At 38.5% G+C, this 27,552-nt stretch overlaps 1 protein-coding gene across 21 annotated transcripts in view; it reads right to left on the bottom strand.

Annotated features, from left to right (window-relative positions):
- The window catches only part of VPS8 (VPS8 subunit of CORVET complex), a 240,449-nt gene that overhangs the window by 39,508 nt on the left and 173,389 nt on the right, over positions 1–27,552 (bottom strand). For all 21 annotated transcript variants that reach the window (NR_146113.2, XM_047447824.1, XM_024453426.2 and 18 more), the window contains 3 exons: positions 19,044–19,124; positions 16,606–16,775; positions 13,246–13,411 (listed from right to left, as the gene is read on the bottom strand). Coding sequence is in view for 20 of the 21 variants with exons in the window: in XM_047447824.1 (XP_047303780.1) it covers positions 13,246–13,411; positions 16,606–16,775; positions 19,044–19,124 (417 nt within the window). In the remaining variant the exon portion in view is untranslated. The remainder of the gene's footprint in view (positions 1–13,245; positions 13,412–16,605; positions 16,776–19,043; positions 19,125–27,552) is intronic.

Genomic DNA, 27,552 nt, shown 5'->3' with positions numbered 1-27,552 from the left:
TCTTAAACCCCAAACAATAGCATGAGTGATCTGTGTCTTAAGGACATGTTCCTGCTGCAAGTAAGGAGCCAGACCCATCCCTTTATTTCAGCCCATCCCTTTATTTCCTGTAGGAAATGCTTTTAGTTATTTCCCGTAGGAAATGCTTTTAGCTAATCTATAATCTATAGAAACAATACTTATCACTGGCTTGCTGTCAGTAAATATGTGGGTAAATCTCTGTTTGAGGATCTCAGCTCTGAAGGCTGTGAGACCCCTGATTTCCAACTCCACACGCTATATTTCTGTGTGTGTGTCTAATTCCTCTAGTGCCACTGGGTTAGGGTCTCCATGACTTAGCTGGTCTTGGCAAGGAATGTCACATACAATACGTGCACCATATTAACTTACTTTTTAGCATTTTAAATGCCAGCTTATTGTCTTCTGGCCTCTTTTTTTTTTTAAATGAGAAATCAGCCATCATTCTTATTGTTGTCTTTGGCTCCTTGTAAGATTTCTTCATCATCTTTGGTTTCAACAGTTTGACTACGACTATTATGTGTTTGGGTATGGTTTTCTTTATATTTATTCTGCTAGAGGTCTGCTGAGTTTTTGACTCTATGGGTTGATGTTTGCTATGAAATTTGGGAAAATTTCAGATATTATTAGGTCCAATGTCCCCAGCTCCCATTCTCTTGCTCCTTATGTTCCAGAAATCCAATTATATATATATTCTATATATGTTGTATATTATATTTATGTTTATCATATATAAAAATTATAGATATATGTACATTATATCCATATATAAATTATAAATATAATTATATAATATATAAATTATAGATATATGTACATTATATATCTATAATTTATAAATATCTAATTTATACATTAATATATATCTATAAAATATAGATATAGCTATAATTTGTATATATGATAGACTTCTAGATATTGTTTCACAGGTCACCAAGAGTTTTTGTACTTTCTTCAATTATTTTTGCCTCTGTGCTTCAGTTACAATTATCATTTCTATTGAACTATATTCAAATTTACTAATTTTTTTCAGTGTTAAAAATGCTGTTGACATCTAATAAAATTTTCACTTTAGATATGTTTTTTAGCTCTGCAATTTACACTTGGTTTTACTTCAGAGATTCTATTTCTGTGCTGACGTTTCCCCATGTGTTCAATCATTCTGTTAATCTTTTCCACGAAATACTTTAACATATTTGTAATTTCTATTTTAAAGTCCTTAACTGCCAATTCCAGCATCTGGGTCATTCATAGGTCTGCTTCTACTGATGCTTTTTCTCTTGATTATAGTTTACACTTTCCTTCTTCCTCCTACTGATCCTATGATAGTTTGGGCTCTGGCTTTGTTAGGATTTACTGTGCTTTTGCCCTTAGTCCTGGGAAATCCCTTAGTCCTCAACCATAGCTCTTCTGCAGTTTCAACACAAAATTTGAGGTATTTATCAATCCCTGTAACATAGCAACATTTACATTCAAAACTCAGCACCAGGCAGCTGCTGAAATCTCTGCTTAGTTCTTTAGTACCTGATGCTGCTTTCTGGAAGCACTGTCTGTCTGTACACAATTTGGAAAACTGCAAAGAGAACTTGGGGCTCCCTCTTCTGTGGCATGCTTCTTTCTGAGATTTTCTCCCTCAACTTAGAGCTGCTTTGGTAGTCTTGTACTTTGACCTCTGTTTCTTCATCCCAGTAAGAATGATACTTGGTATTCAAGCTCTTTTCTCCAATACTCCATGGCAAGCCAAGAGGTGCCCTAGAAAAGCTGGTTAAATGTAGAGCTCGTCTAGTTTGCTTCCCTTCTTTCAAGGTTTGCATTCCCTATAGTTTCTGCCTGCTTCCAGTTGCTCTCTAAACAATGTTTTTTCATATTTTGCCTAGGGCTTATAATTATTAGCAAAAAGGTCATCTACTATAGGCTGCTCTGCTGTTACTGGAATTAGAACTCTATTATGTCTCTTTAAAGTTTTTTTTTTTTTGTACTCTGTGTCCCTACTTTTTTTTAGGATTCCAATTTGATGTATATTTGGCCACTTGAAGTTGTTCCATAGTTCACCAATGATCTATTCATTTCTTTTTCTTTTTTGTTTTTTTGAGATAGGGTCTCGCTTTGGTGCCCAGGCTGGAGTCCCATGGAACAATCACAGCTCACTGCAGCCTTGACCTTCTGGGCTCAAGTGACCTTCTTGCCTCAGCTCCTCAGCTGGGACCACAGGCATGTGCCACCCGCTTGGCTAATTTTTTAAAAATTTCGGTAGAGACAGGGTCTCATCATGTTGTCCCAACTGGTCTAAAACTTTTGGGCTCAAGTGATCCTCCTGCCTTGGCCTCCCAAAGTGCTGGGATTACAGGCATGAGCCACTGTACCAAGCCCTGTTTCTGTTTAGTCTTCTTTCTGTGTTTGATTTGGGATAGTTTTTATTGCTATATTGTTAAGTTCACTAATCATTTCTTCTCCAATGCCCATCCTGCTATTAATTTTATCTAGTATATTCTTCATCTCAGACATTGTAGTTTTAATCTCTAGATGTTCTACTGGTTCTTTGTAACTTCCATATTTCCATTTGACGTATTCAATTGTTCTTCTAGCTTCTTGAACATATGGAATACAATTATAACTTTGAATGTCCTTATCTACTAATTTTATTATCTGGGTCATTTCTGTGTTAGTTTCAATGGGTTGTTTTCTTTTCCTCATTATCATGGCTTGTATTTTCCTGCTTCTTTGCATGCCTAGTAATTTTTGATCAAATACTAGACATTGTGGATTCTATCTTGTTGGGTATTGGATATTTTTATAATTCTTTAATACATTGCTAAACTCTGTTCTGCGATATGGTTAAAATACTTGCAAATAGTTTTATCTTTTTAGGTTTTTGCTTTTAAGCTTTGTTAGGTGAGATCAAAGCAGCAGTTAGTTTAAAGTTAATTTTTTTCCCCACTACTGAGGCTAAGAACTTACTTAGTACTCTCAATGCTACCTTGTGATTTATGAAGATTTCCAGGCTGGCTGGTGGGAGCAAGCATTATTTCTGGCTCTTTGTGAGTCTGGGACATTGTTCAATCTAATCCTTTTGGGTGGCACCTTTTTTTTTTTTTTTTTTTTTGGACCTGAAGTAGTTTCCTCACACAGTGGGTAAATAAGTGGGTAAGTACTCAACTGAATACTCAAAAGTTACCTTCTGCAGATCTATGGAGCCCTCTGTATGGCTCTCACCTAATACTCCACCCTGCAAACTCTAGCCACCTTGTCTTTCCTGGACTCTGAGCCCTGTCCCCTTGACCCGGAGAGACTAAGCTCTGCCTTCGTTCTCCCTCTCTGAGTCATGCCGTGAAAACTTTCTCCAGGGAGTAATTTGGTAGAAATCTTAGGGTTTATGTCATTTGTTTCTTATCTTTCAGGGGTCACTATCTTTCACTGCCTGGTGTCCAATGTCTTATGAACCATTATTTTATATATTTTGCCCCTTCCCTACCCCCCGCAAAAAACTCCAAATGCATCTTGTCCTGAAGTGAAAGTCTTCATATTACATTTATAAAATCCAAAAAATTCTGAATTCTGAAACATATCTGGCCAAAGTGACTTAGACAAGGGCTTGTGGACTTATACAAATATGCATTCCCACTAGTAGTGCATAAAAGTATCTGTCTCCTCACATCCTTATCAATGTAAATGCATATGTATTTTTAATGTGTCTCAGTTTAATTATGTATTTTTAAATATTTGCCAGCTTAATAAGTAAAAAAAATGGTATTGTATAGTTGATTTAGCTTGCATTTCTTTGATCACTGGTAAAATTGCATTTTTTTCACATTTTATTGGACAACAGAATTTCTTATGTCCTTATCTCATATTTCCATCAAAACCTTAGTTCTATAAAATACTAAAAACAATGTCTTGGTATTACTTTCATCCTTAGTTCTCTTTGTCTGTATGAAGATTTTTCTGCATCAAAGGGAAATGTACGAATTTACAGAACTTCAAAAGTCTGACTGCTATACAGCTCTGGAAAATAAGTGAGAACTGGGCTGGTAATACAGATCTGGCTATCCATTTTCTACAGCTGCAATCACCATTCAATGTTTCCTAAGAATAAAAACCAAACTCTTGACCGAACAAGACATTTGTCTCCTAATCTAAAGTAGGTTTCCCTCATGTTACTCTCCCTTATTCTTTCCCTTTATGTCAATTAAGTACCTATCACAATTTGAAACTATATATTTGATATAATGCTTGTTTACCTGTTTACCAGGGTCTTTAAGGCTAACCAGGCCCTGTCTACCTACCTCTTCAACCTCATTCCTGGCCATTTTCCCTTTTAGGCACTATGGTTCCAGCTGCTGATCTTTTTTCAGTTCCTTGAACAAGTCATTTGTCTCCTCAGATCCTTTGTGCTTGCTGTTCTCTCTTGCCTGAAATTTCTTGCCTAAAATGTTTTTCACATGGCTGGTACCGCCTTAGCCTTCAGGTCTTGGCTTAAATATTACCTCTGCATATAAAGATTCCCTAACCACCTAACGTACGTTTCCCTCATGTTATTCTCCCTTATACTATTCTATTCTTTCCCTTTATGCCAATTATGTACCTGTCACAATTTGAAGCTATATATTTGATATAATGCTTGTTTACCTAATTATTTATGTCTAGCTCCCTTACTAGATGGCAAGATACATGATAGTGGGAACTATGGTTATTTTTTTGTTCACCAATGTATCGTCATACCAAGAATAGTGTTTGGCTCAATGCAGGTATACATTAAATACTGGCTGAAGTAATGAATCCCTTAACATTAAATATTGGCTGAAGTAATGAATCACTTAGTACTACAGTATAATAACAAGATTATTGGAAAATGGGCAAAAGTCTCCTCAAAATGCTGCATTTATATTAGGATGATCAATCGTCTCTATGTACTTCTGAGACATATTAATCTTCATTTAATTTATAAGTTTAATGTTGAATATACTCTTTTGAAAAATGGCACTACTGCTGAACACTGAAATCTCATTTTTTAGTATTTGGTTTAATTATAGTAATATATATTTAATTATAGTAATATAGTATTGATATGACCTATTTATATCAGAGAGCTAATATTCTTTTTAAATGGACAAATGAAAACAGGCATTAATATCACTGTTCCTATTTCATTAAATGGCATGTAAACTGAATCTCCAAGTGTAGTGGGAATTCAAAATAAATAAGCAATGTGCAATGGTTAATAGAAAATTATGGCTAGTGAACATAAATATCATTTACTGAATAATTACTTGGAAGTTGTTCATACTTCCTCCTAGCATTATTTGTACATTTACCCCAAAAGACAAAACGTTTTCCTAGAGAACACTAAACACCAAGAAATAAAACCAATTCCAAGTAGTGGGGAAAAACTCAGTTGGTTTTGAACAATACCATATAAAACTCCCTGAGTGTCTAAGAATGCTCTTGGGTTTGAAGTTTTAAAAGGAATAACAACTTGAATATTCTGGTACATAACAATGTGTTAGCTTATTACCTACTCTCAAGAACGCCAAGCCCTGTTAACTGAAATCTAGCAAATCTTAGATATTTTTCTTTGAATTTATATCAAGTTACCTGTTGACTAACAAATATTATTTTTTAAACAATTAATAGCAAGCTAATTTCTTCTCATGCTAATCAATGCCAAAGAAGATTGTTATTTGCTACTATGAATTTAATATAGGAATAATCAAAGGTGAAATTTAAATTATTTGATTGTATTAATGTAAGTGAGTAATGTTCTTGAGAAAATATACTAGAATGTTGAGTACTTCAGCTGAAATTAGTTTCTCCTGTGGGTAATATGTAGAGAAATCAGAAAGAGAATCAGATAGAGTTACAAGGCCTATTCTATAGATCTGATTTTCAGTAAGCCTGTGGGAAGGAGGAAGAGGGGGAGATAAGGAAAGAAAGTAATTTGGGTCATTTCTCCTTTTTTTGAAGACTAAAAGTGCTTATTCCAGAGAAAGCAGGCTTTCTGGGGAATAACTCCCAACACATCTATGTAACCTTGTTGGCAGGCAACTATTACGTCTGAATTATTGGTTGTATATATTGACCAGTTATGAAAAAAGCAGTGAGACAGAAGTGGCAGGAAGAAAGACTTTATCTGCCATGACCATAGTTTTGAGGGTAACTATTGCATCCTGTAGAGTTGGAGCCAGAAACTGAAGAAGTAAAAGTTAATTATCTCAAGTCTTGGAAAGAGATGAAACAAAAGGACTGCATTTGACAGAAGGACTGCATTACAAAGGCAGTGAGGGGATTCCAATGCATTCACCATCTTCTAGGTGTAGACAGCAACAGGCGGAAGCTGCCTGGCTGTTTCAGCTTGATGTCTGAGTCACTGGGCCCTCCTGTGCTGCTCTCCATGCACTGTGTAGGAACTTAACCAGGGATGACGGATTTTTAAAGGAAATTAAGGGGGCAAAGTAAAACTTTCATATAACAAAATTTAATAGAAACGATCACAGTAGAATTAGTATTTTCATTTTAAATTTTATTATAACTGGAAATGTGAATGGTTCACACAATGGTGAGAAATCTTAATTAGGACTGCCAATATGGTATGGATGTATTTGAAAAATCAGCTTTACCAGGTTTCAATAAAGCCAGAATAAAAATAGAACAGGTTGGTGGTAGGATAATTCAGGGTGATGATGGTCTTACAAACTTGAGGTCAAATATTGGCCCTCACTCTCTGAGCTACAGATAGTTCCTACAGCTGTAAAATAAGGATTATATCACCCTCACAACTTGATGTAAAGACTAACTTAACATAAAAACATCTAACACATGTATTTGATAAATTTCATATCCTCTTCCTTCTTATATTACCTAACCCACTAGATCTTTTTACAATATCTTATGCAAGAAAATCAAAGGACACAGAGAGCTAGAGGAAAATTTAAGAAAAAACAAAATAGTTCTCATTCTGTCTTCCATACAATTACAATAAAGTGTCTAGATTTGATCTTACTGAAGTTTCCTGTTAATGAAAATGTTGGGTCATCTCTCCTGTCCTGCAGAATGGGATAGCCCCAGAAACAAACTTTTGCTGATGTGTAGATCCCATTTTAAAATGGTTTCCCCTGAGAACTGCAACAAGACAAGGATGCCCACTTTCATTTATTCAACATAGTACTGGAAGTCCTGGCCACAGCAATCAGACAAGAGAAAGAAATAAAGGACACCCAATCGGTAAAAAGGAAGTCAAACCATCACTGTTCGCCAATGACATGATTGTGTACCTTAAAAACCCTAAAGACCCATCCAATAAGCTCCTAGATCTGACAAAGGAATTCAATAAAGATTTAGGATAAAAAATTAACATACCCAAATCAGCAGCACTGCTATACACCAACTATGACCAAGCTGAGAATCAAGAACTCAATCCCTTTTACAATAGCTGCAAGAATAAATAAATAAATAAATAAATAAATAAAATAAATAAAATACTTAGGAATATACCCAACCAAGGAGTTGAAAGACCTCTACAAGGAAAACTACAAAACACTGCTGAAAGAAATCACAGATGACACAAACAAATGGAAATACATCCTTTGCTCATGGATGGGTAGAATCAATATTGTGAAAATGACCATACTGCCAAAAGCAATCTACAGATTCAATGCAATTCCCATCAAAATACCATCATCATTCTTCATGGAACTAGAAAAAACATCCTAAAATTCATATGGAACCAAAAGAGAGCCCACATAGCCAAAGCAATACTAAGCAAAAAGAACAAATCTGGAGGCATCACATTACCCAACTTCAAGCTATACTACAACGGTATGGTTACCAATACAACATGGTACTGGTATAAAAATAGGAATGTAGACCAATGGAACAGAGCAGAGAAACCAGGTATAAAGCCAAATACTTACAGCTAACTGATCTTTGACAAAGCATACAAAAACACAAAGTGGGGAAAGGACACCCTATTCAACAAATGGTGCTTGGGATAATTGGCAAGCCACATGTAGAAGAATGAAACTGGATCCTCAACTCTCACTGTATACAAAGTCAACTCAAGATGCATCAAAGACTTAAATCTAAGCCCTGAATCCATAAAAACCCTTGTATAGACATTGGCTTAGGCAAAGACCTCATGATCAAGAACCCAAAAGCAAATGCAAAAATAAATAAATAAATAAATAAAAAACAAAACAAAAAAAACCAAATAAATAAATGGAACCTAATTAAACTAAAAAGGTTCTGCACAGCAAAAGAAATAATCAGCAGAGTAAACAGACAGCCCATAGAGTGGGAGAAAATATTCACAAATTATGGATCTAACAAAGGACTAACAACCAGAATCTACAAGGAACTCAAACAAATCAGCAAGAAAAAAACAACCCCATCAAAAAGTGGGCAAAGGATGCAAATAGACAATTCTCAAAAGAAGACATACAAACGGCCAAATGTATGAAAAAATGCTCAACATCACTAAACTATCAGAGAAATGCAAATTGAAACCGCAATAAGACACCACTTTACTCCTGCAAGAATGGCCCTAATTAAAAAATAAAAAAGAGCTCTCCCTCTCCCTCTCCCCGCGGTCTCCCTCTCCCCACGGTCTCCCTCTCCCTCTCTTTCCACGGTCTCCCTCTGAGGCCGAGCCGAGGCTGGACTGTGCTGCTGCCATCTCGGCTCGCTGCAGCCTCCCTGCCTGGTTCTCCTGCCTCAGCCTGCCGAGTGCCTGCGATTGCGGGCGCGCGCCGCCACGCCTGACTGGTTTTCGTATTTTTTTGGTGGAGACGGGGTTTTGCTGTGTTGGCCGGGCTGGTCTCCAGCTCCTAACCACGAGTGATCCGCCAGCCTCGGCCTCCCGGGGTGCCGGGATTGCAGACGGAGTCTCGTTCACTCACTGCTCAATGGTGCCCAGGCTGGAGTGCAGTGGCGTGGTCTCGGCTCGCTGCAGCCTCCACCTCCCGGCCGCCTGCCTTGGCCTCCCGGGGTGCCGAGATTGCAGCCTCTGCCTGGCCGCCACCCCATCTGGGAGGTGGGGAGCATCTCTGCCTGGCTGCCCAGTCTGGAAAGTGAGGAGCGTCTCTGCCCGGCCGCCATCCCATCTAGGAAGTGAGGAGCGTCTCTGCCCGGCCGCCCATCGTCTGAGATGTGGGGAGCGCCTCTGCCCCGCCACCCCGTCTGGGAGGTGAGGAGCGCCTCTGCCTGGCCGCGACCCCATCTGGGAGGTGAGGAGCGTCTCTGCCCGGCCGCCCCGTCTGAGAAGTGAGGAGACCCTCCGCCCGGCAGCCGCCCCGTCTGAGAAGTGAGGAGCCCCTCCGCCTGGCAGCCGCCCCGTCTGAGAAGTGAGGAGCCCCTCCGCCCAGCAGCCACCCCGTCTGGGAAGTGAGGAGCCACTCTGCCCGGCCACCACACCGTCTGGGAGGTGTACCCAACAGCTCATTGAGAACGGGCCATGATGACAATGGCGGTTTTGTGGAATAGAAAAGGGGGAAAGGTGGGGAAAAGATTGAGAAATCGGATGGTTGCTGTGTCTGTGTAGAAAGAAGTAGACATGGGAGACTTTTCATTTTGTTCTGTACTAAGAAAAATTCTTCTGCCTTGGGATCCTGTTGATCTATGACCTTACCCCCAACCCTGTGCTCTCTGAAACATGTGCTGTGTCCACTCAGGGTTAAATGGATTAAGGGCGGTGCAAGATGTGCTTTGTTAAACAGATGCTTGAAGGCAGCATGCTCGTTAAGAGTCATCACCAATCCCTAATCTCAAGTACCCAGGGACACAAACACTGCGGAAGGCCGCAGGGTCCTCTGCCTAGGAAAACCAGAGACCTTTGTTCACTTGTTTATCTGCTGACCTTCCCTCCACTATTGTCCTATGACCCTGCCAAATCCCCCTCTGCGAGAAACACCCAAGAATGATCAATTAAAAAAAAAAAAAAATGAGAAAAAATAAAAATAAAAATAAAAATAAAAATAAAAAAATATTAGATGTTGGCATGGATGTGGCAGAAAGGCAACACTTTTACACTGCTAGTGGGAATGTAAACTAGTACAACTATTATGGAAAACAGTATGGAGGTTCCTTAAAGAACTAAAAGTAGAACTACCATTGGATGCAGCAATTCCATTACTTGGTATCTACCCAAAGGAAAATAAGTCATTATATGAAAAAGACACTTGTACATGCATGTTTATAGCAGCACAATTTGCAACTGCAAGATGTGGAACCAACCTAAATGTCCACCAACCAAGGAGTGCATAAAGAAATGTGGTATACATACACCATGGAATACTACTCAGCCATAAAAAGAAACAAAATAATGGCATTTGCACAATCTGGATGGAGATGGAGACCATTATTCTAAGTGAAGTAACTCAGGAATGGAAAACCAAGCATCTTATGTTCTCATTTATCAGTGGGAGCTTAACTATGGAATGCAAAAGCATAAGAATGAAATAATGGACTTTGGGGACTCAGGGAGGGGGGAAGGACTGGAGCAAAGTAAGGGATAAAAGAGTACACACTGGGCATAGGGTACACTGCTTGGGTGATGGGTGCACCAAAATCTCAGAAATCACCACTAAATAACTTTTCCAAGTAATCAAAAACCACCTGTTCCTCAAAAACTATGGAAATAAAAAATTTAAAAATAAAATTAAATGGTTTCCGAACCTTTCTTGATGCTCGAGAAGGTAGGAAGAAATTCAGTGAACAGATTACCTTTCTTCACTGCAAGAGGTGTGGGGAACATAGGAAGAGGGCAACCAATGTAGTGTAAATGGCTTTCAAAATTTTACACCAATTCATGAAAAATTTCTCAAGAAAACTTGGAATAAAAAGGAATTCCCTAAACATGATATAAAGGTTACAGACTAAAAGCCTACAGTTAACATTACACTTACCAATGAAAAAATATAATGCCATAAGTATTGGCACACATGAGTACTTAACTTGGTCCTTGCTTGCCTAATGAACCTCACCTCATTTCACTCTCTTTCTGACCCTCTTAATTTCATTCTACTTACCTTCTAGTTCTGGGTTTGTTGCACTTAAACTCGTCTAGCTTACTCCTTTTCTTTTCCCTTCAAGGGAAGCTAACAGGGCACTTCTAGCAGGCCTTCCATGATCCCTCATGTCTATTTTATATCTACTCATTATCTGTACTTACAGCATAGTTCATCTGTAAGTACTTGTGGTATAATAAAAATACATATATTTGGCCTTTGTCTTAGGTTCCTGGCACACAGCTCCTAAAACCCTTGGAATCTCCTGAGTGATGAGAGTGTCTTTTGCATGAGAATAAGATGACTGCTGGCTGGAGACCCCTGGATAGCTTCAGCATGAGGGCTAGGTGCCAGAAAGACCAAGCCATGGTTAGAGGTTTGGAACTTTCAGCCCCATCTCCCAACCTGTGCAGAGGGGAGAGGGGCTGGAGATTGAGCTCAATCATAAATGACCAATAATTTTCAGGCATGACTACATAACGAAACCTCCAAAAAAAACCTGTAAATGGTGGGGTTGAGGAGCTTATGGGTTGGTGTAGACATTGATGTGCTAGGAAGGTGGTAGGCCCAGAAAGGGCATGGAATCTCTACCACTCCTCATCCCCCTCCCCAACCTTGCCCTATGCACCTCTTCCATTTGGCTCTTCCTCAGTCGCATCCTTTATAATAAATTGGTAAATGTAAATAAAGTGTTTCCTGAGTTCTGTGAATCATCCTAGTGAATTATGGAACCTCAGAGGGGGTCATGGGGACCACTGAATTTGCAGCCAAGTCAGACAAAAGTAGGTAGCCTGAGTACTTTGTTTGTGACTGGCATCTAAAGTGAGGACTGTTCGTGTGGGACTGAACCCTTAAACCATGGAGTCTCTAACTCTAGCTAGTATCAGAACTGAACTGAATTGGAGTCAGAAAAAACTTGAGAGTACTCTGTTAAAAATCCTTTTATAAGTTTGTTGACTGTATACTCTGAAAGACAAGACCATGTTTGCCTTGTCTACCATTGTATCCCCAGGCACCTGGCACAGTGCCTATCACACTGTTCAATACAAACTTGGGGAAGGTATAATTGGAAAGGCTACCACTGGAGAGTAGAAGTTCTACATTGTTATCTGGAGAGAAGTTAGTCAGGAGGTTTTCCCAGGCTCTGCTTCTAATACAATGCTGATGGCTGATGAAACAAAAAGAGAGGCCGGGTGCGGTGGCTCACGCCTGTAATCCCAGCACTTTGGGAGGCCGAGGCGGGCAGATCACGAGGTCAGGAGATCGAGACCATCCTGGCTAACACGACGAAACCTCAACTCTACTAAAAATACAAAAAATTAGCAGGGCATGGTGGCATGCACCTATAGTCCCAGCTACTCGGGAGGCTGAGGCAGAATGGCGTGAACCCAGGAGACGGAGCTTGCAGTGAGCTGAGATCGCACCACTGCACTCCAGCCTGGGCAACAGAGCGAGACTGCATCTCAAAAAAAAAAAAAAGAAACGAAAAGAGAAAAGTAACAAGCCCAACTTTTCACTATGTGATGTGAATGTGAAGGCCAACTATAGGATAGGGTAGCACAGAGGAAGGAACAGGAAGCCAAAAATATGATACTACCTCAAAGAGGAAGTATAGCCGAGTAGAGCACAATGATCAAGTCCCAGTCCCAGTAACTTCTCCACATTGAACCCCTCATGTTGTCAAGCTCTGCTCTCCTGAAAACTATCAAGCGGTAGAGTTCAAACTCTGCTCCACTGTCTGCTTTAAAAAAAGGCTGTAAAATACATAAAATTATCATCTAGTCCAGTAGTCAGACTCCAAAGGCAGTGAAAGAGCATATGTGTATGCACCTTGTCCATCATCAGCCCTACTTAAAAGTCATAATTCTGCACTCTTATCATATAGGTACTCATTGGTACCTGCAAGTACTCAGCTGTACTTGCTAAGCTGTTACTCTATCAAAAGGTCTTAAAAGCAGGCTCATGTGTGTACACCTCATCTGTCCAACTGGATCTTAAGCCGTTTAAAGGCAGAAAATGTCATCTGTTGCTCTCAAATTCATGTTTTTCCATACTGAGTAGAGAGGAGAGGCTCTTCGAACACTAAATAGGACTGAAAAGAACATTTCATGTACCCAATACCCACCAGGTAAATTTGTTGAGACCTATGGAACCGAAGGAAATGAGACCAGGCCCAAATGACATTGGTAAGAAAAGACCATTTCCATTTTGCCACGAAAACAAGTCTTACCTGTGATGGGGTTATCCTTCCCTTTTTAATTTCAGATGAATTTTCACTGAGTTTTCCTACTTTGTTACTTGAACTGCATTTGTAGCATGTCCATCTTGTTTGGCCCTCAAATTCCACAGTGCATTCTTTGTTTTGTAGGCAGAATGAGTGATACAAATGGCCACAGCTGCAAAACGAAGGCAACCAATTTGTACTTTTTATTATCACAAAATCCATAAATATAAGCTTGTAAGTGTACTTAGAAGCAATAAAAATCTCTAACAAGTAGAAATGCACTGATGGCTGTACAGGGTAAGAAACAAGAAAGGGAATGTACTTGCTGCTGTCCTCTCTTTTTAAAAATCCACATTCATACATATATTTGTATACTTATGTTGTGAGTACGAACAAATCACAGTTCTCTGACTAAAAACTACCTAGAGGATGAGTTGAACTTCTGTTCATTTCTCAAACTATGAAATCCGGATAGTATTTTTAGATAATCTGAAAAAAAGGCAACTGGGGGCTGGGCGTGGTGGCTCACGCCTGTAATCCCAGCACTTTGGGAGGCCGAGGTGGGCAGATCAGCTGAGGTTAGGAGTTTGAGATCAGCCTGGCCAACATCGTGAAACCCCGTCTCTACTAAAAATACAAAAAATTAGCTGGACGTGGTGGCAGGTACCTGTAATCCCAGCTACTTGGGAGGCTGAGGCAGAAGAATTGCTTCAACCCGGGAGGCGGAGGTTGCAGTGAGCCAAGATCGTGCCACTGCACTCCAGCCTGGGCAACAAGAGCAAAACTCTGTCTCAAAAAAAAAAACCAAAAACCAAAAAATTAGCCAGGTGTGGTGGCACACACCTGTAGTCCCAGATACTCAGGAGGCTGAGGCATGAGAATCGCTTGAACCTGGGAGGCAGAGGTTACAGTGAGCTGAGATTGCTCCACTGCACTCCAGCCTAGGAGACAGAATGAGACTCCATCTCAAAAAGAAAAAAAAAAGCAACTGGAAAAAATCATAATTATTTAAGTAGCTTGATAACAACATGAGTGGTCTGCTCACCAAATTCAAGGCAAGGGTTGTGATTTGATTAAACATTTACAAAAATGTCATTGCTGTAGTAAATCCTTACGCTATTCTTATAAAGAAATTCCCTATTGATTACACTAAATTACCAAATCAGCCTCCCAGAAGTTGAGTACTGAGAATAATTCTCAGCCATCTACACTGATTTATCTTCATTTCTCTAATCTAAAATGTCGGACATTCCAGAAATCAAACCTTTTCTTTTCTATAGTCTTTATACTCTTTTTCTTTTTTCTTCCCTTCTCTCTCTCTCTCTCGCTATATATATATATATATATATATATATATATATATATATATATATATATATATATATATAAACTTCCTCTTCTATACTCTGTTGTTGTAGCTACCTTTGCTCCTTTAGAGATTACTTCCAGGTTCCATAGCTTTAAAATACCACTACCTTCTAAATATATCCAGAATCCTACCACTTCTTACTTCATGACTATTACCTAGACCATCTCTCACATGGGCTACTACAACAGCCTAAGTGGTCCATCTGCTTTCCCCCTTGATCTCTCTAGTCCTTTCTTAACACAGCAGTCAGAGTAATCCTTAAGACATAGGTCAGATCATGTCACCGCCCCAGTCCTCAAAACCATCCAGTGGCTTCGCATCTCAGAGTAAAAGTCTCACTTTCATTATAAAAATGAGTTAGACTTGGGCCAGCTCCTACATGATTTGGCCTCTGCTCCTCTGAAGTCTCTTTCACTGTCCCCTTCCTTGGCTGCTCAGGTGCCACTAGCCTCCTCACTCACTACTCCTCAAGAATGCCAAGGCTCTCCCGCCTCATGGTCTCTGCACTTGGCTCCTCTGCCTGGTGTACTCTCTTCTGACGTTGCATGGCCACTTCCTTTAGATCCCCTCAAACGTCACTTAAACAAGAAGGCTTTCCTGGACTACTCTATAAATTAGTAGCTCCCAACATTCCTTTTCCTCTATAGCATAGCTTGTTTTTTATTCATGTAACTATTATTTTTCTATTAATTAATTTTTAAGTTGTCTGTTCATAAGTCACCTTAACAGTGAGCCTTTCCCTGACCAACCTATATAAAATATCTGCACCCCCCACCAAACACTCTGTATCTCCTTTAACATTTTTTCCCCCATGGTAGTTATCAGTATCTGGCATTTCACTTGTTGGCTTATGGTCTATCCCTGCCACTACAATGTAAACTCCATGAGGGCAAATCCTTTGTTTTGTTCATCCTGTATCCTATCCCCTTGAATAGCAGCTTGCATACAGCAGGTGCTCAATAAATATTTCTTGCCTGAATGGGCTCTTTGTGTGAAGAGAACTACTTCCCCTTCCAACCATCAAGTCTACCAATCTTCCTGCAGATGTAACACTCAGATAGTGCTTACTCATGCCAGGCACTGTTACAAGTGCCTTATATAAATCATCTCATTCAATCCTCACAAAACCCTACTATCCTATTTACAGATGAGGAAACTAAGATATAAAGAGGTTAAATAACTTGTCCAAGGTCTCACAGCTGGCATGTAGTAGAGTCAAGACTTGAAGTCAGGAAGTTTGGATCCACGGCCATATCATGTTACCTCTATCCATACATTCTAGATGAGCTGTCTTTGCTCCTGAGACCAACACCTTCACTCTGCACTAGGGTTCCTCTCTCTTTGCAATGTAGCTTAAATATCATATGCTGACAACTTCTAAATTAAAATTTTCCAGTCTCAACACATCTCCAGATTTCTGACTTGAATAACTGTCTAGCTGGCATCCCTACCTGATGTCTAACAGTACATTTCAAACCTAACACGTGCAAGACAAAACTCTTGATTTCCCCAGTTCCTTGTACCTGTTCTTCCTCATCTTAGACAACGGTACCATGTTTACCCAATTGCTCAGACCAAAGATTCATTTTTCTCTTATACTCCACATCTAATACACCAGCAAGTTATCCCTACCTTTAAAGGATACTCAGAATCCAAACACCTCTCAGCACCTTTGCTCCTCCCTCTCTCGTTCTGCTCAAAGGTCATGTCCTCAGATATGCTTTCCCTCATTCAACAGCACTTGTCCTGAACTCATCATCCTTCTATCTATTTGTCCTGTGTTTTATTTTTCTCCATAGCTCTTATTCCTCTGTATTTATGTCTTTCCTGGGCACCCTAACCTCCACCCCAATGCAGAATGTAAGGTCTGTGAGGGCAGGAACTTGCCTATCACGTTCACTGCTAGAATGACTACCCGTGTATCCATGTGGATTCTTGCCTGGTAATGCCACAGATGTACATGTACCATACATGTAACATTTCCTTCCCTTTCTTACCTAAAGACAATTATTTCATCAGCCATTTCTTGGCGTCTCTTGTACTGCTGCAAACATATAGAGCAGTAATCTTGTTTGGGATTCAGTCCTCTGGTGACCGAAGCTCTCAGGTTACACAATGACCAATGGAGATCTTGGTTTAGAAGGCTGGTTGTTGTTTCCAGCAGGGTCTATGAAACACCAAAACAAAAAACAAACAAACAAAAGGTTATAAGATGAAAGAGATAGAGGAGATGAATGGTGAATAGCACTTGTTTAGTTTTCAACTACCAACAGCTAAAATTGAAACACACTATAAAGGGATAACATTGTTGAAACAAAAAAACATCAAAACCTCCCAAATTCAAGCAGTTAACCTCAATGTGCAGAGTAATGGTGAGTGTATACATTACAAAGATTCTCAAATCTGTCATTAGTTTCTATTGAGAAATGTGAGCTCTGCCATTCTGCAGCTTCATTCAGTATTGATGGCTTTCAAATGACTAGATAAGCCCAAATATATTTATTACATTTATATAATAACTGCTCTCTGAATGGCTCAGAGTGTTGTAATAAAGAATACAGCTAAGTCTGAATCCCAGATTTTTTACTGAAACTGCATTCGTGGTAATGTTTCAAATATCTTTTCACTAGTAAAGCTAATGGCCATTACTCTATTTTCATCTTCCTTGGGCAGAGAGATCACATTTTCCTGATCAGCACTTAGAAGTCATTTGCATCTACTCAAGACCATGACATCTATCATTAAGTCACATAAAGACATTTTAACAGCTATCACATTAAGTCATTTTAAGGCTCTATGTATTTATATAGTATTGTTTTTGTACTGTATCTCATTCTTAACATTCATATATATCATCTGGCTATGTATTTGGGTTCTTTTCTCTCAGTCCCGAAGGGGAAGATAGAGCTAGGTACTGCCTGCCCTCCTTGTTATACAGCTTAACTCTTTAACTTTGCCTGTAATGCAATACTTTTGGTTCTAATGGTCTATTCTACTTCTTTCCAATCAGTATTATCTTTTTCTCCTCTTCCATAGTTCCAAAATTGGCAAACATTTTCTGCCTTGCACACAACTATACCTCTGCTAACCTGGAATCTGTGACTGCAGGGGTTATCAAGCTTCACTGGGCTACGCTTAACCAAACTGCAATTCTTACAACATTCTAAGAAAAGCTGTCACCCAGATTTTCCTTTTCTTCTCTCGGATTCTTAAAAAAAAGCAGACATTGTCTCCAACAGACCTAAATGGTACTTTTCCTAGGTGGCTTCATGGGTTACTCTGCAGTACGCTAAGAAAAAAGCCCGTACACCAAGCTGGCTCTTACTGAGACTTACAGCTAAAGACAATTTTGAGTTAAGGGAAGACTAATGACCATTTATGGTGATACGGTTTGGCTGTGTCCCCACCCAAATCTCATCTTGAATTACCACGTGTGGTGGGAGGGACCCAGTGGGAGGTAACTGAATCATGGGGGCAGGTCTTTCCTGTGTTGTTCTCGTGATAGTGAATAAGTTTCACAAGAGCAGACGGTATTATAAGGGGGAGTTTCCCTGCACAAGCTCTCTTCTCTTATCTGCTGCCATGTGAGACATGCCTTTCACCTTCCGCCATGATTGTGAGGGCTCCCCAGCCACCTGGAACTGTAAGTCCAATAAACCTCTTTCTTTTGTAAACTGCCCAGTCTTGGGTATGTCTTTATCAGCAGCATAAAAACAAACTAATACAATGGTTAGTGACAACTATCTGTTTCAGAATGTTTAAAATAATACTCATTTAATTTTATTTTACAATTTTCTATATTCATGTTGATCCTTCCTTTTCATGTGGTATATAGCTTTGTATTAAATTATTTTTCCAGAAAGTTTCTCACACTTTCATTTTGAAAAAAGATATTTGTTTCATTGCCAATGAATTAAAATAAACTAAATTTGAATTAGATGCATTTCTACATTCTGAAATGTGTGTGTGTGTACACAAATTAAGGTCAAGAGAATTTTTTTTTTTTTTTTCAGAGAAGGGTCTTGCTCTGTCACCTGGAGAGTGCAGTGGCACAATCATAGCTCACTGCAGCCTCCAACTCCTGGGCTCAATTGATCGTCCTGAGGAGTTACAATTATAGGCACATGCCACCATGCCCAGCTAATTTTTTTTTATTTTTTGTAGAGACAGAGTCTTGCTATGTTGCCTGGACTGGTCTCAAACTCCTGGCCTCTGGCAATCCTCCTGTCTCAGTCTTCCAAAGTGCTGGCGTTACAGGTATGAGTTACCATGCCTGGCGAGAGAAAAACTAAAAGAAATACACACACATACACCTCAGTCTACCTAACTGCCAGTAAATAGATGGTAATTTTTTTTTAAGTATAGGTACAAAATTAAAAAAAATAGCATTTTTCTACCTTAGGACAGACTTAGATGTAACAAGTAGCTTACTTACTTGTTCATAGTTAAAGGTATCTAACATTCCCAAGATAAGTCCCTGGATTTCTCCAAGTTTTCCTTTTCCATAAACTGGATCCTAATCGGAAAAAATTACAATTCTGTTACAATTCTGTATTTTAAAATTACTTTAAAATGTAAGTTATCTGAAAAAGCCAAATGCTTTTAAGTATTTTTCTACAGTCACAAAATATTTATTCTTCCATGAACTTTCCACCGGAAATGTACCATAGTCTTCCTCTGACCATCTCAAATATTTTTGAAAAACAAAATTTAAATTATCCAAGCCCCTTTCTTAACAATCCTTACAAATCTAATTAAACTTTACTTTTATTTTGTTTCTGCAAGAAGCTTCCTCTCCTTCATATAAAACAGCAACTCTCCCTCTTTGAGCTCGTATATATGTTACATTAAAACCAGTGTACTCAGGAATACCCAGAATCTGTCCAACAACTCCTCCTGTGATCCCATTTAGCCACTTCCTGCCCCTAACCAACTCAATTGCATCAGTTTTGGAGACAAACAGGTTCTGAGAAAACAGCTCTCAGTTTTTTGAAGTTTTTTTCAATAAGGTCACTACTGATAAACAAAAGATACCTAGATACCCAATGTTCTCTCCACTGCATTTCATATGAGGTATGCCAAGTAACTTGTTTATTATGTGCATTTTGGAAACACTGAAGTGTACAAAAAAAAAACCCAAAAAACAAAAAACAAAACAAAAAACAAAAAACCACACCAAAAACTGAAATCCAACTAGAGGTAAACACTGTTGATATTTTGATGTATATTTCTCTAGTCTTGTTTCTGGGAGAGGTGAGAAGAGGAAGAGAAAGAGGGATGTATTTTTTAGTGTATAAAATTTGAGTATTTTACAAAATATTTTTATATCTTTTTTTAATTCAATGGTATATTGTGAGCACTTTTCCATACCAGCAAATATTTCTTTTTTTTTCTCTACTCTTGTGACACATTACAAGTATTTCTTAATAGGTACAGAATATAAATCATGTGAAAATATCATGTTTTATTCATTTTCTGCTTTGAACACTTCACTTTTCCCCTTTCCCAAACTCCAGCCACCATTATCAAATGCTAGTGGCTGCAAATCTCAATTGGAATCTCTGATTCTTTCTTTAGAGATTTCTAGACAGAAAACTATAGACTCAAAGGGCATTTTCATGGCTATCAATATATACTGCCAAATTGCTCTACCTATTTTAGGATTTTTATCCCCATCAGCATATGTATGTGCTCACTTCACTGACCTTTGGCTAGACTAATAATTATAATTTTAAAACTGTGAATAAATGAGTCAAGTCTATTACTTTTCTCTAATATCAAGTTATATATGACATAAATGACTCTTTTCCATGCCAAATAGGAGAATCCAACTACACAGTTATGATAAAAGTAGCTGCTACTTTAAGTGAGTAGCATATGCCAAGTACAGTACTAAGCAGTTTATGTTTAACATATTACTAAGTTCCTTCAACAGGTTTTATGAGTAAAGAAACTGAGGCTTAGAGAGGTTACAAAAACTTCTCTAAGTCACAAAACTATCAAGCAGATAAGATGGGATTTGAATCTAGGTACTTCAGAAATCACGCTTTTAATAAACACACTATACTGGTCTCCCAAGTCTGGATACAAAAACTAATAAATTAAGTAATAAATTACTTTTTGCTTGAAAATATGGGTTTCTAACATAGGTAAGTAAATGATAAACTAATGATTGCTGGAAAACACGAGAAACATGTCTGGCTATTTCTTAGGGAGTAAGGGTTATTAAACTCTTGGTACTGTTAAGAGTTACTGTGAGTTCAGAAGGAAAAAAGGCTATGGAAGCAGGAAAAACCTGTATAAGAATTGTCTCAGGATTTGCTTTTCTCTTCTGGGTTCTAGTGATGGCTCTTGCAGAATAGGTTGTGCAGTTTCTAACTAAGATTGGTTTTCAGTGCTTTGAGTCTGTCTAGAGCAGCATGAGACTGTCTGCCAGAGGTTTCTCTGGACTCTTCAACTGCTAGGGTTATGCTGAAGAAATCCAAGGCACAAAATAACTATGTATTTGTGTAGTAATTATCAAATTAACAAGTTTGGGCTTGAACACATCACTTAAGCTTAACAGGAAAAATTTCTACTTCACAGCTAGAGATCATATCACTAAGCTAAAGATATCTGTCAAATATGTGGAAATCATTTCCAAAAGGCAAGATACAGATATTTCAGACTAGTCCTTCAGAGAAAAACAACTCAAAGCCATATACCCACTGCACATTTTTTTCTTTTTATTTTCTTTGCATAAAAATAGACCCTTGTTAATGCTTAATTATACTTTTGGTCAAGTTCTTAATAAGTATACGTTTGTCAAATATCAACAGATGGTACAATATCTTATTAGAAAAATCTATTATAATATTTACTATAATATGTGGATCCAATAAGACAACAGAGCTCTGGCATGTGTTTTCGACAAGGGTGGTTTGGAGAACAAAGAGGTCTTAAAAGGTTAAATTCTGGGAAAAGGAAATCTCTATAGGTCATTTCTATATTTGTATCAGTACATCTCACTGTAATATACATAATTTAAAAGCAAAATCAAGAAAATGACCTCATGCTGGGACAACATATAAATTATAGAATGCAAAAGGGAGCTCAAAGCTTCTAGCACAGCATGCTCCAACCCACTAGCTCTTCAAATTATTTTCCAAAGATGTCAGCTAGATTCTTCAGCAATGAATAAATGCTGAGGTTTCTCTTAAGTTGTTTGTTTGCAAACTATGAAGGAAGAGCATACTTGGGTACCCAGGTAAATTTGTTTTTCAAGACACACACTAGAAAAGATGTGATGACCATGTTTTTTTCCTATTGCTTTCTGGTACCTATTGTATCATGTATGTGGGTGTTTAAAATAAAAATCTTTATTAATTGAGCACTGCTTTAAAATATGAATGATGCCCTGAACAGGAGAGTCTATAAATAATTTGTTTGCCTTTCCTCAGTGAGAAAGTAATAAACGGCTTCTCAGAAGCTAAAAGTTACTTCAGCCATACAGCAAAGATAGAATGTATATAACAAAAATATGGTCCTTTAAAATGTTCTTTTATCACCTAATATTCATGGAAAAAAAAAAAAACGGTGTAATTTGGGTCCCAGGCATCAGTCTGAATAAACACGTGAAGATCAAGAAGATCTGTGAGAACCTCTTATCATGTGACCACTTCTTTTGGAAAAACTAATTTTTTCATTTGCATCTGAGCAATTGTGCATCTAAGTAACTGCTGCTCCCTACTTTTTTCAGTGGGGATCTGATACAGTGAGGTGGGTATGAGAAACGCCTTGATTAGTGTTAGATACAGAAGAAAAGCCCTAAAACTTGAAGTTAGCAGACCTGGATTAATTCTAGTGGTTCCCATTTCAAAACTGAATAAACTAAGACAAATTATTTGATCTTTCTGAGTGGCACTTTTCTCATGAGATACATGAGGTATTGCTACATCCCCAGCTCAATCTGCACAGTTAGAGATCAGAGAAGATAATGAACACTAAAGTGATTTGTAAACTGGTGAGAACTATAGAAGGACATTAGGTGAGGGAGTCAACTAATATTTAATGGGCATATACTATGTTTCAGGCACTGCACTGGGTGTTGTAGGTAACATAGTGAACAAGGGAGACACGATCTCTGCTTTTACAAAACTCACAGCCTCGGGGGTAAGCTAATATGAAGGCAGGGCTCAAAAAGAGTTTATATTTACAGGTGTGATTGGGGCTGCAGTGAGGGTGGAAAGGCAAGGGAGAAAAAACTTAACTCCTAAAATATTCTAGGAGACAGAGTAGAGAGGATTTAACGTGGATTAAATACAGGGACTGCTGAGGAAAATAATGAGGAATTCTACCACACAGTTAAGGAAGAAACTATACAAACTGTCTACAATCTATTCCAGAAAACAGAAGCAGAGGGAACACTTTTCTTTTTTCTTTTTTTTTGTAGACAGTCTTGCTCTGTCGCCCAGGCTGGAGTGCAGTGGCGTGGTCTCGGCTCGCTGCAAGCTCTGCCTCCCAGGTTCACACCATTCTCCTGCCTCAGCCTCCCGAGTAGCTGGGACTACAGGTGCCTGCCACCATGCCTGGCTAATTTTTTTGTATTTTTAGTAGAGACAGGTTTTCACCGTGTTAGCCAGGATGGTCTCGATCTCCTGACCTCGTGATCTGCCCGCCTCGGCCTCCCAAAGTGCTGGGATTATAGGTGTGAGCCACCACATCCCGGCTGAGGGAACACTTCTTAACTCATTCTCTGAGGCCAGCATCACCCTAATACCAAAACCAGACACAGATATTACAAGAAAGGAAACTATATGAACAGAGATGCAAAAATCCTCAACAAAATATTAGCAAATTGAATCCACTAATGTATAAAAAGAATTATACATAACAACCAAGTGGGATTTATCCCAGGTATGCAAGGCTGGTTCAACATTTAAAAATCAATTAATGGGCTGGGTGTGGTGGTTCATGCCTGTAATCCCAGCACTTAGGGAGGCAGAGGCGGGAGGATGGCTTGAGCCCAGGGTGAGACCTGCTTGGGCAACACGGTGAGACCCCATTCTCCACAAAAAAGGAAAAAAAAAAGACAAGAAAAATCAATTACTGTAATCCACCACATCAACAGGCTAAATAAGAAAAATCATATGATCATATTAGCAGATGCAGAAAATGCACTTGATAAAATCCAACGCCCACTCATGATAGACAAACTGTGAGCAAACAAGGAAGGAAGGGACACTTCCTAAACTTGATAAACAGTATCTATAAGAACCTTGCAGCTAACATCATACTTAATGGTGAGAAACTGCCTTTCTTCTAAGACAGAAAATAAGGCAAAGATAACCCCTCTCACCACTCCTATTCAACACTGTACTGGAAGTTCTAGTTACAGCAATAAGACAAGAAAAGGAAACAAAAGATATACAGATTGGGAAGGAAGAAATAAAACTGTCTTTGTTTGCAGATGACATGATTGTCTAAAAAACCCTGAAACAATTAAGTGATTATAGCAAAGTTACAGGATACAAGGTTATTATACAAAGTCAATTGGTTTCCAATATGCCAGCAACCAACAGTTAGAATTTAAAATTAAAAAGATACTATTCACATTAGTACCTAAGAGAAATATTTAGATATGTCTAATAAAATATACACAGTTTGTATGAAGAAAACTGTAACACTCTAATGAGGGAAAGCAAAGAAGATCTAAATACATGGAGAAATATTTCATGTTCATGAACAGAAAGATTTGATATTGTTATAATGTTAGTTCTTCATTTGATCTATAAGTTCAATGTATTCCTAATCAAAATTCCAGCAAGTTACTTTGTAGATATCAACAAACCGTTTCTGAAGTTTAAAGCAGAGAGGCAAAAGACAAGGAATGGCCAACACAATAATGAAGAAGAGCAAAGTTGGATGATTGTCACTCCCTGACTTTAAGACCTACTATAAAACTAATCAAGACAGTGTTGGTATTGGTGAAGGAATAGAAAATAGATCATTGTAAAAGAACAGAAAACCCAGAAATAGACCCATATGAATATGGTAAACTAAGCAAAGGCAATTCAATGGAGAAAGGGACAGTCCTTTCAACAAGCAGTGTTGGAACTAGTTCCAACTGTGTATATTCACATGCAGAAAAATGAATCAACACTGACCATATATTTTCCCCCAAAATTAACACAAAATGGATCATAGCTCTAAGTGTAAAATGCAAAAATACAAAACTTTTAGGAAAAAACAAATGAGAAAAATCTGGGTAACCTTGAGTTTGGTGATGAGTTTTTACATACAACATCAAAAGCATATTCCATGGAAGAAAAAGTCAATAAACTAGACTTCATTAAAAGCAAACACTTCTGCTGTGTGAAACACACTGTTAAGAGAATAAAAAGACCAGCCACAGAGTGGGAGAAAATATTTGCAAAAACACGCATGTGATAAAGAACCTTATCCAAAATATACAAAGAATCCTTAAAACCCAACAACAAGAAAACAAACACTTCAAAAAGCACGTAAAAGCTCAATATCACATGTTGTAAGAGAACTACAAATTAAAACAATGATGAGACTACTACACGTCTACTAGAATGTCTAAAATCCAAAACACTGACAATACCACATGCTGCTAAGATATGGAGCAACAGGAACTTTCATTCAGCGCTGGCGGAAATGTAAAATGGTATAGACATTTTGGAGCAGAGTTTGGCAGTTTCTTACAAAAGTAAGCATAGTCTTATATAATCCAGCAATCACATTCCTAGGTATTTACCCAAATGAGTCTAAAACTTAAGTCCACACAAAAAGCCTGCATATGAATGTTCATAGCTGTTTTACTGAAAATTTTCAGAACTGGAAGGCAACCAAGATGTTCTTTGATAGGTATGTGGATAGACAAAACTGTGGAACATCCATACAATGGAATATACAGAGATAAAAAGAAATGAACTATCAAGCCCCCAAAAGAAATGGAAGAACTTTAAGTGCATATTGCTAAGTGAAAAAAGCCAATATGAAAAGACTACGCACTCTATGATTCCAACTATATGACATTCTGGAAGAGGTAAAACTATAGGGACAGTTAAAAAAAAAAAATCAGTGTGGGCACGGTGACTCGCACCTGTAATCTCAGCACTTTGGGAGGCAGAGGTGGGCAGATCACTTGAAGCCAGGAGTTCAAGACCAGCCTGGTCAACATGGCAAGACCCCATCTCTATTAAAAATACAAAAATTAGCTGGGCACGGTGGTGTATGCCTGTAATCCCAGCCATTTGGGAGGCTGACGCATGAGAATCTCTTGAACCTGGGAGGTGGACGTTGCAGTGAGCAGAGATCACGCCAATGTACTCCAGCCTGGGTGACAGAGTGAGACTCTGTCTCAAATAAAAGAAAAAAAATTAGTGGTTGCCAGGGGATTAGCATAGGGAGGAGGATGAATAGGTGGAGCACAGGGGCCTTTTAGAGCAGTGTATGATATGGTAATGGTGGATATAGGACATTATGCATTTGTCAAAACCCATACAACTGTACAACACAAAGGGTGATTGCTAATGTAAACTATGGACTTTAGTTAATAATTATAATATATCAATATTAATTCACCAATTGTAACAAATATACCACACTAATACAAAAATGTTAACCGTAGGCAAAACTGAGTGTGGGAGGGAGAAGGGGTAAAAGGGAATTCTCTGTATTTTCTGTTTAATTTCTCTGTAAATCTAATACTGCTCTAGTACTTAATAATAGAAATACTAAACCTCAATGAAAGGCCTGGTTGTGTAACTGAGGCTTGCTGACTGATGCAGCTCCATGGAGAGTGACAGGACAGCTAGCCAGCCTTTTTCTTGAGGAAAACCTGAAGCATCCAATCTGTTTAGGGTTTATTCCTCTGAGATCATTCAGTGTCTCAAGAAAATGAACCTCTGTCTCCTTCATGAGAAGTGAGTGCGTCTGATGGCTGCTGGAAGGGGGAAGAGGAGCACGGGGAATACCATCAGCAGACTTTCCCCAAATCCTCATTTTCAGCCCTGTGTTTTACTCCCCTCCCCTTGTGTCTGAGTCATTCCTCTGCTAAAAATCTTGATGACAACTGATTTTAGAATAAAATCCAAACTCCTTATCATGAATTATAAAGCAATTAAAGACACAGTCCCTGCCTATCTCTCAAATTTCAGCTCTGTAATTTTTCTTTATTCTTATCCTATGTTCTGAGCACACTTAAAAAACTTGTAACTTTCCAAAAGTACCATGCTTTCACCTCAAAGTCTTTGTGTATATAGAATAATCCTACCTCCTTTCTTTCCTTGATTTCCTTAGACTCTTTTAAGAATCAGCTCAGACATCTCCTCTTCCAGGAAATCTTTCCAAATTTCCTACTCTGTTTCAGGTATATACTTTTATTGGTACTCCTTTGGTCATATATAGCCATAAATACCACTCAATCTAACTTACTCAAAAAAGTTAATTATTGTAAAGATGCTAGGGTATTTCACAGATCTAAGAAGAGGAATGCTGGTAAGTCTTAAGAGTCACAATGAGAGACTCATGTGCATCAGCTTTTTCTCCCCACATGGTCTCCTCTCCTCGTCTCTATGTCTTGAATCCTCTTTATGCATTGTATCCATTTGTGTGTCTCTTCTTAGTGTCTACTACATTCGTCTCCTTCTCTCTACAGATTATGCTTTTTCACTCTTCCAGTCCATATAATGGAAAAACAGGAACTGTCCGTTCCTGAAATTTGTACCTGATGTAATCCAGAGACTTAACGAGAGACTTATAGATCTTTTCCAAGTTCAGTTCCAAAATGTCCTGGAAAGCACACTGATTGGCCTTGTTTAGGCCATTTGCTCACCCCGAGTCAATCAGCTGGACCCAGGAGGCAGGGTCACACTTTCCCACAGCTCCTTCTGCTCTTACACAGATTAAGTATAGAAATGTAGGCATGGCAATTATCC

This window comes from Homo sapiens, chromosome 3 (genome assembly GCF_000001405.40).
Source record: "Homo sapiens chromosome 3, GRCh38.p14 Primary Assembly".
In the NCBI taxonomy this organism is placed as follows: domain Eukaryota; kingdom Metazoa; phylum Chordata; class Mammalia; order Primates; family Hominidae; genus Homo; species Homo sapiens.
Note: the sequence above shows the minus strand (reverse complement) of the source record. Positions and strands in the feature narration are given on the sequence as shown.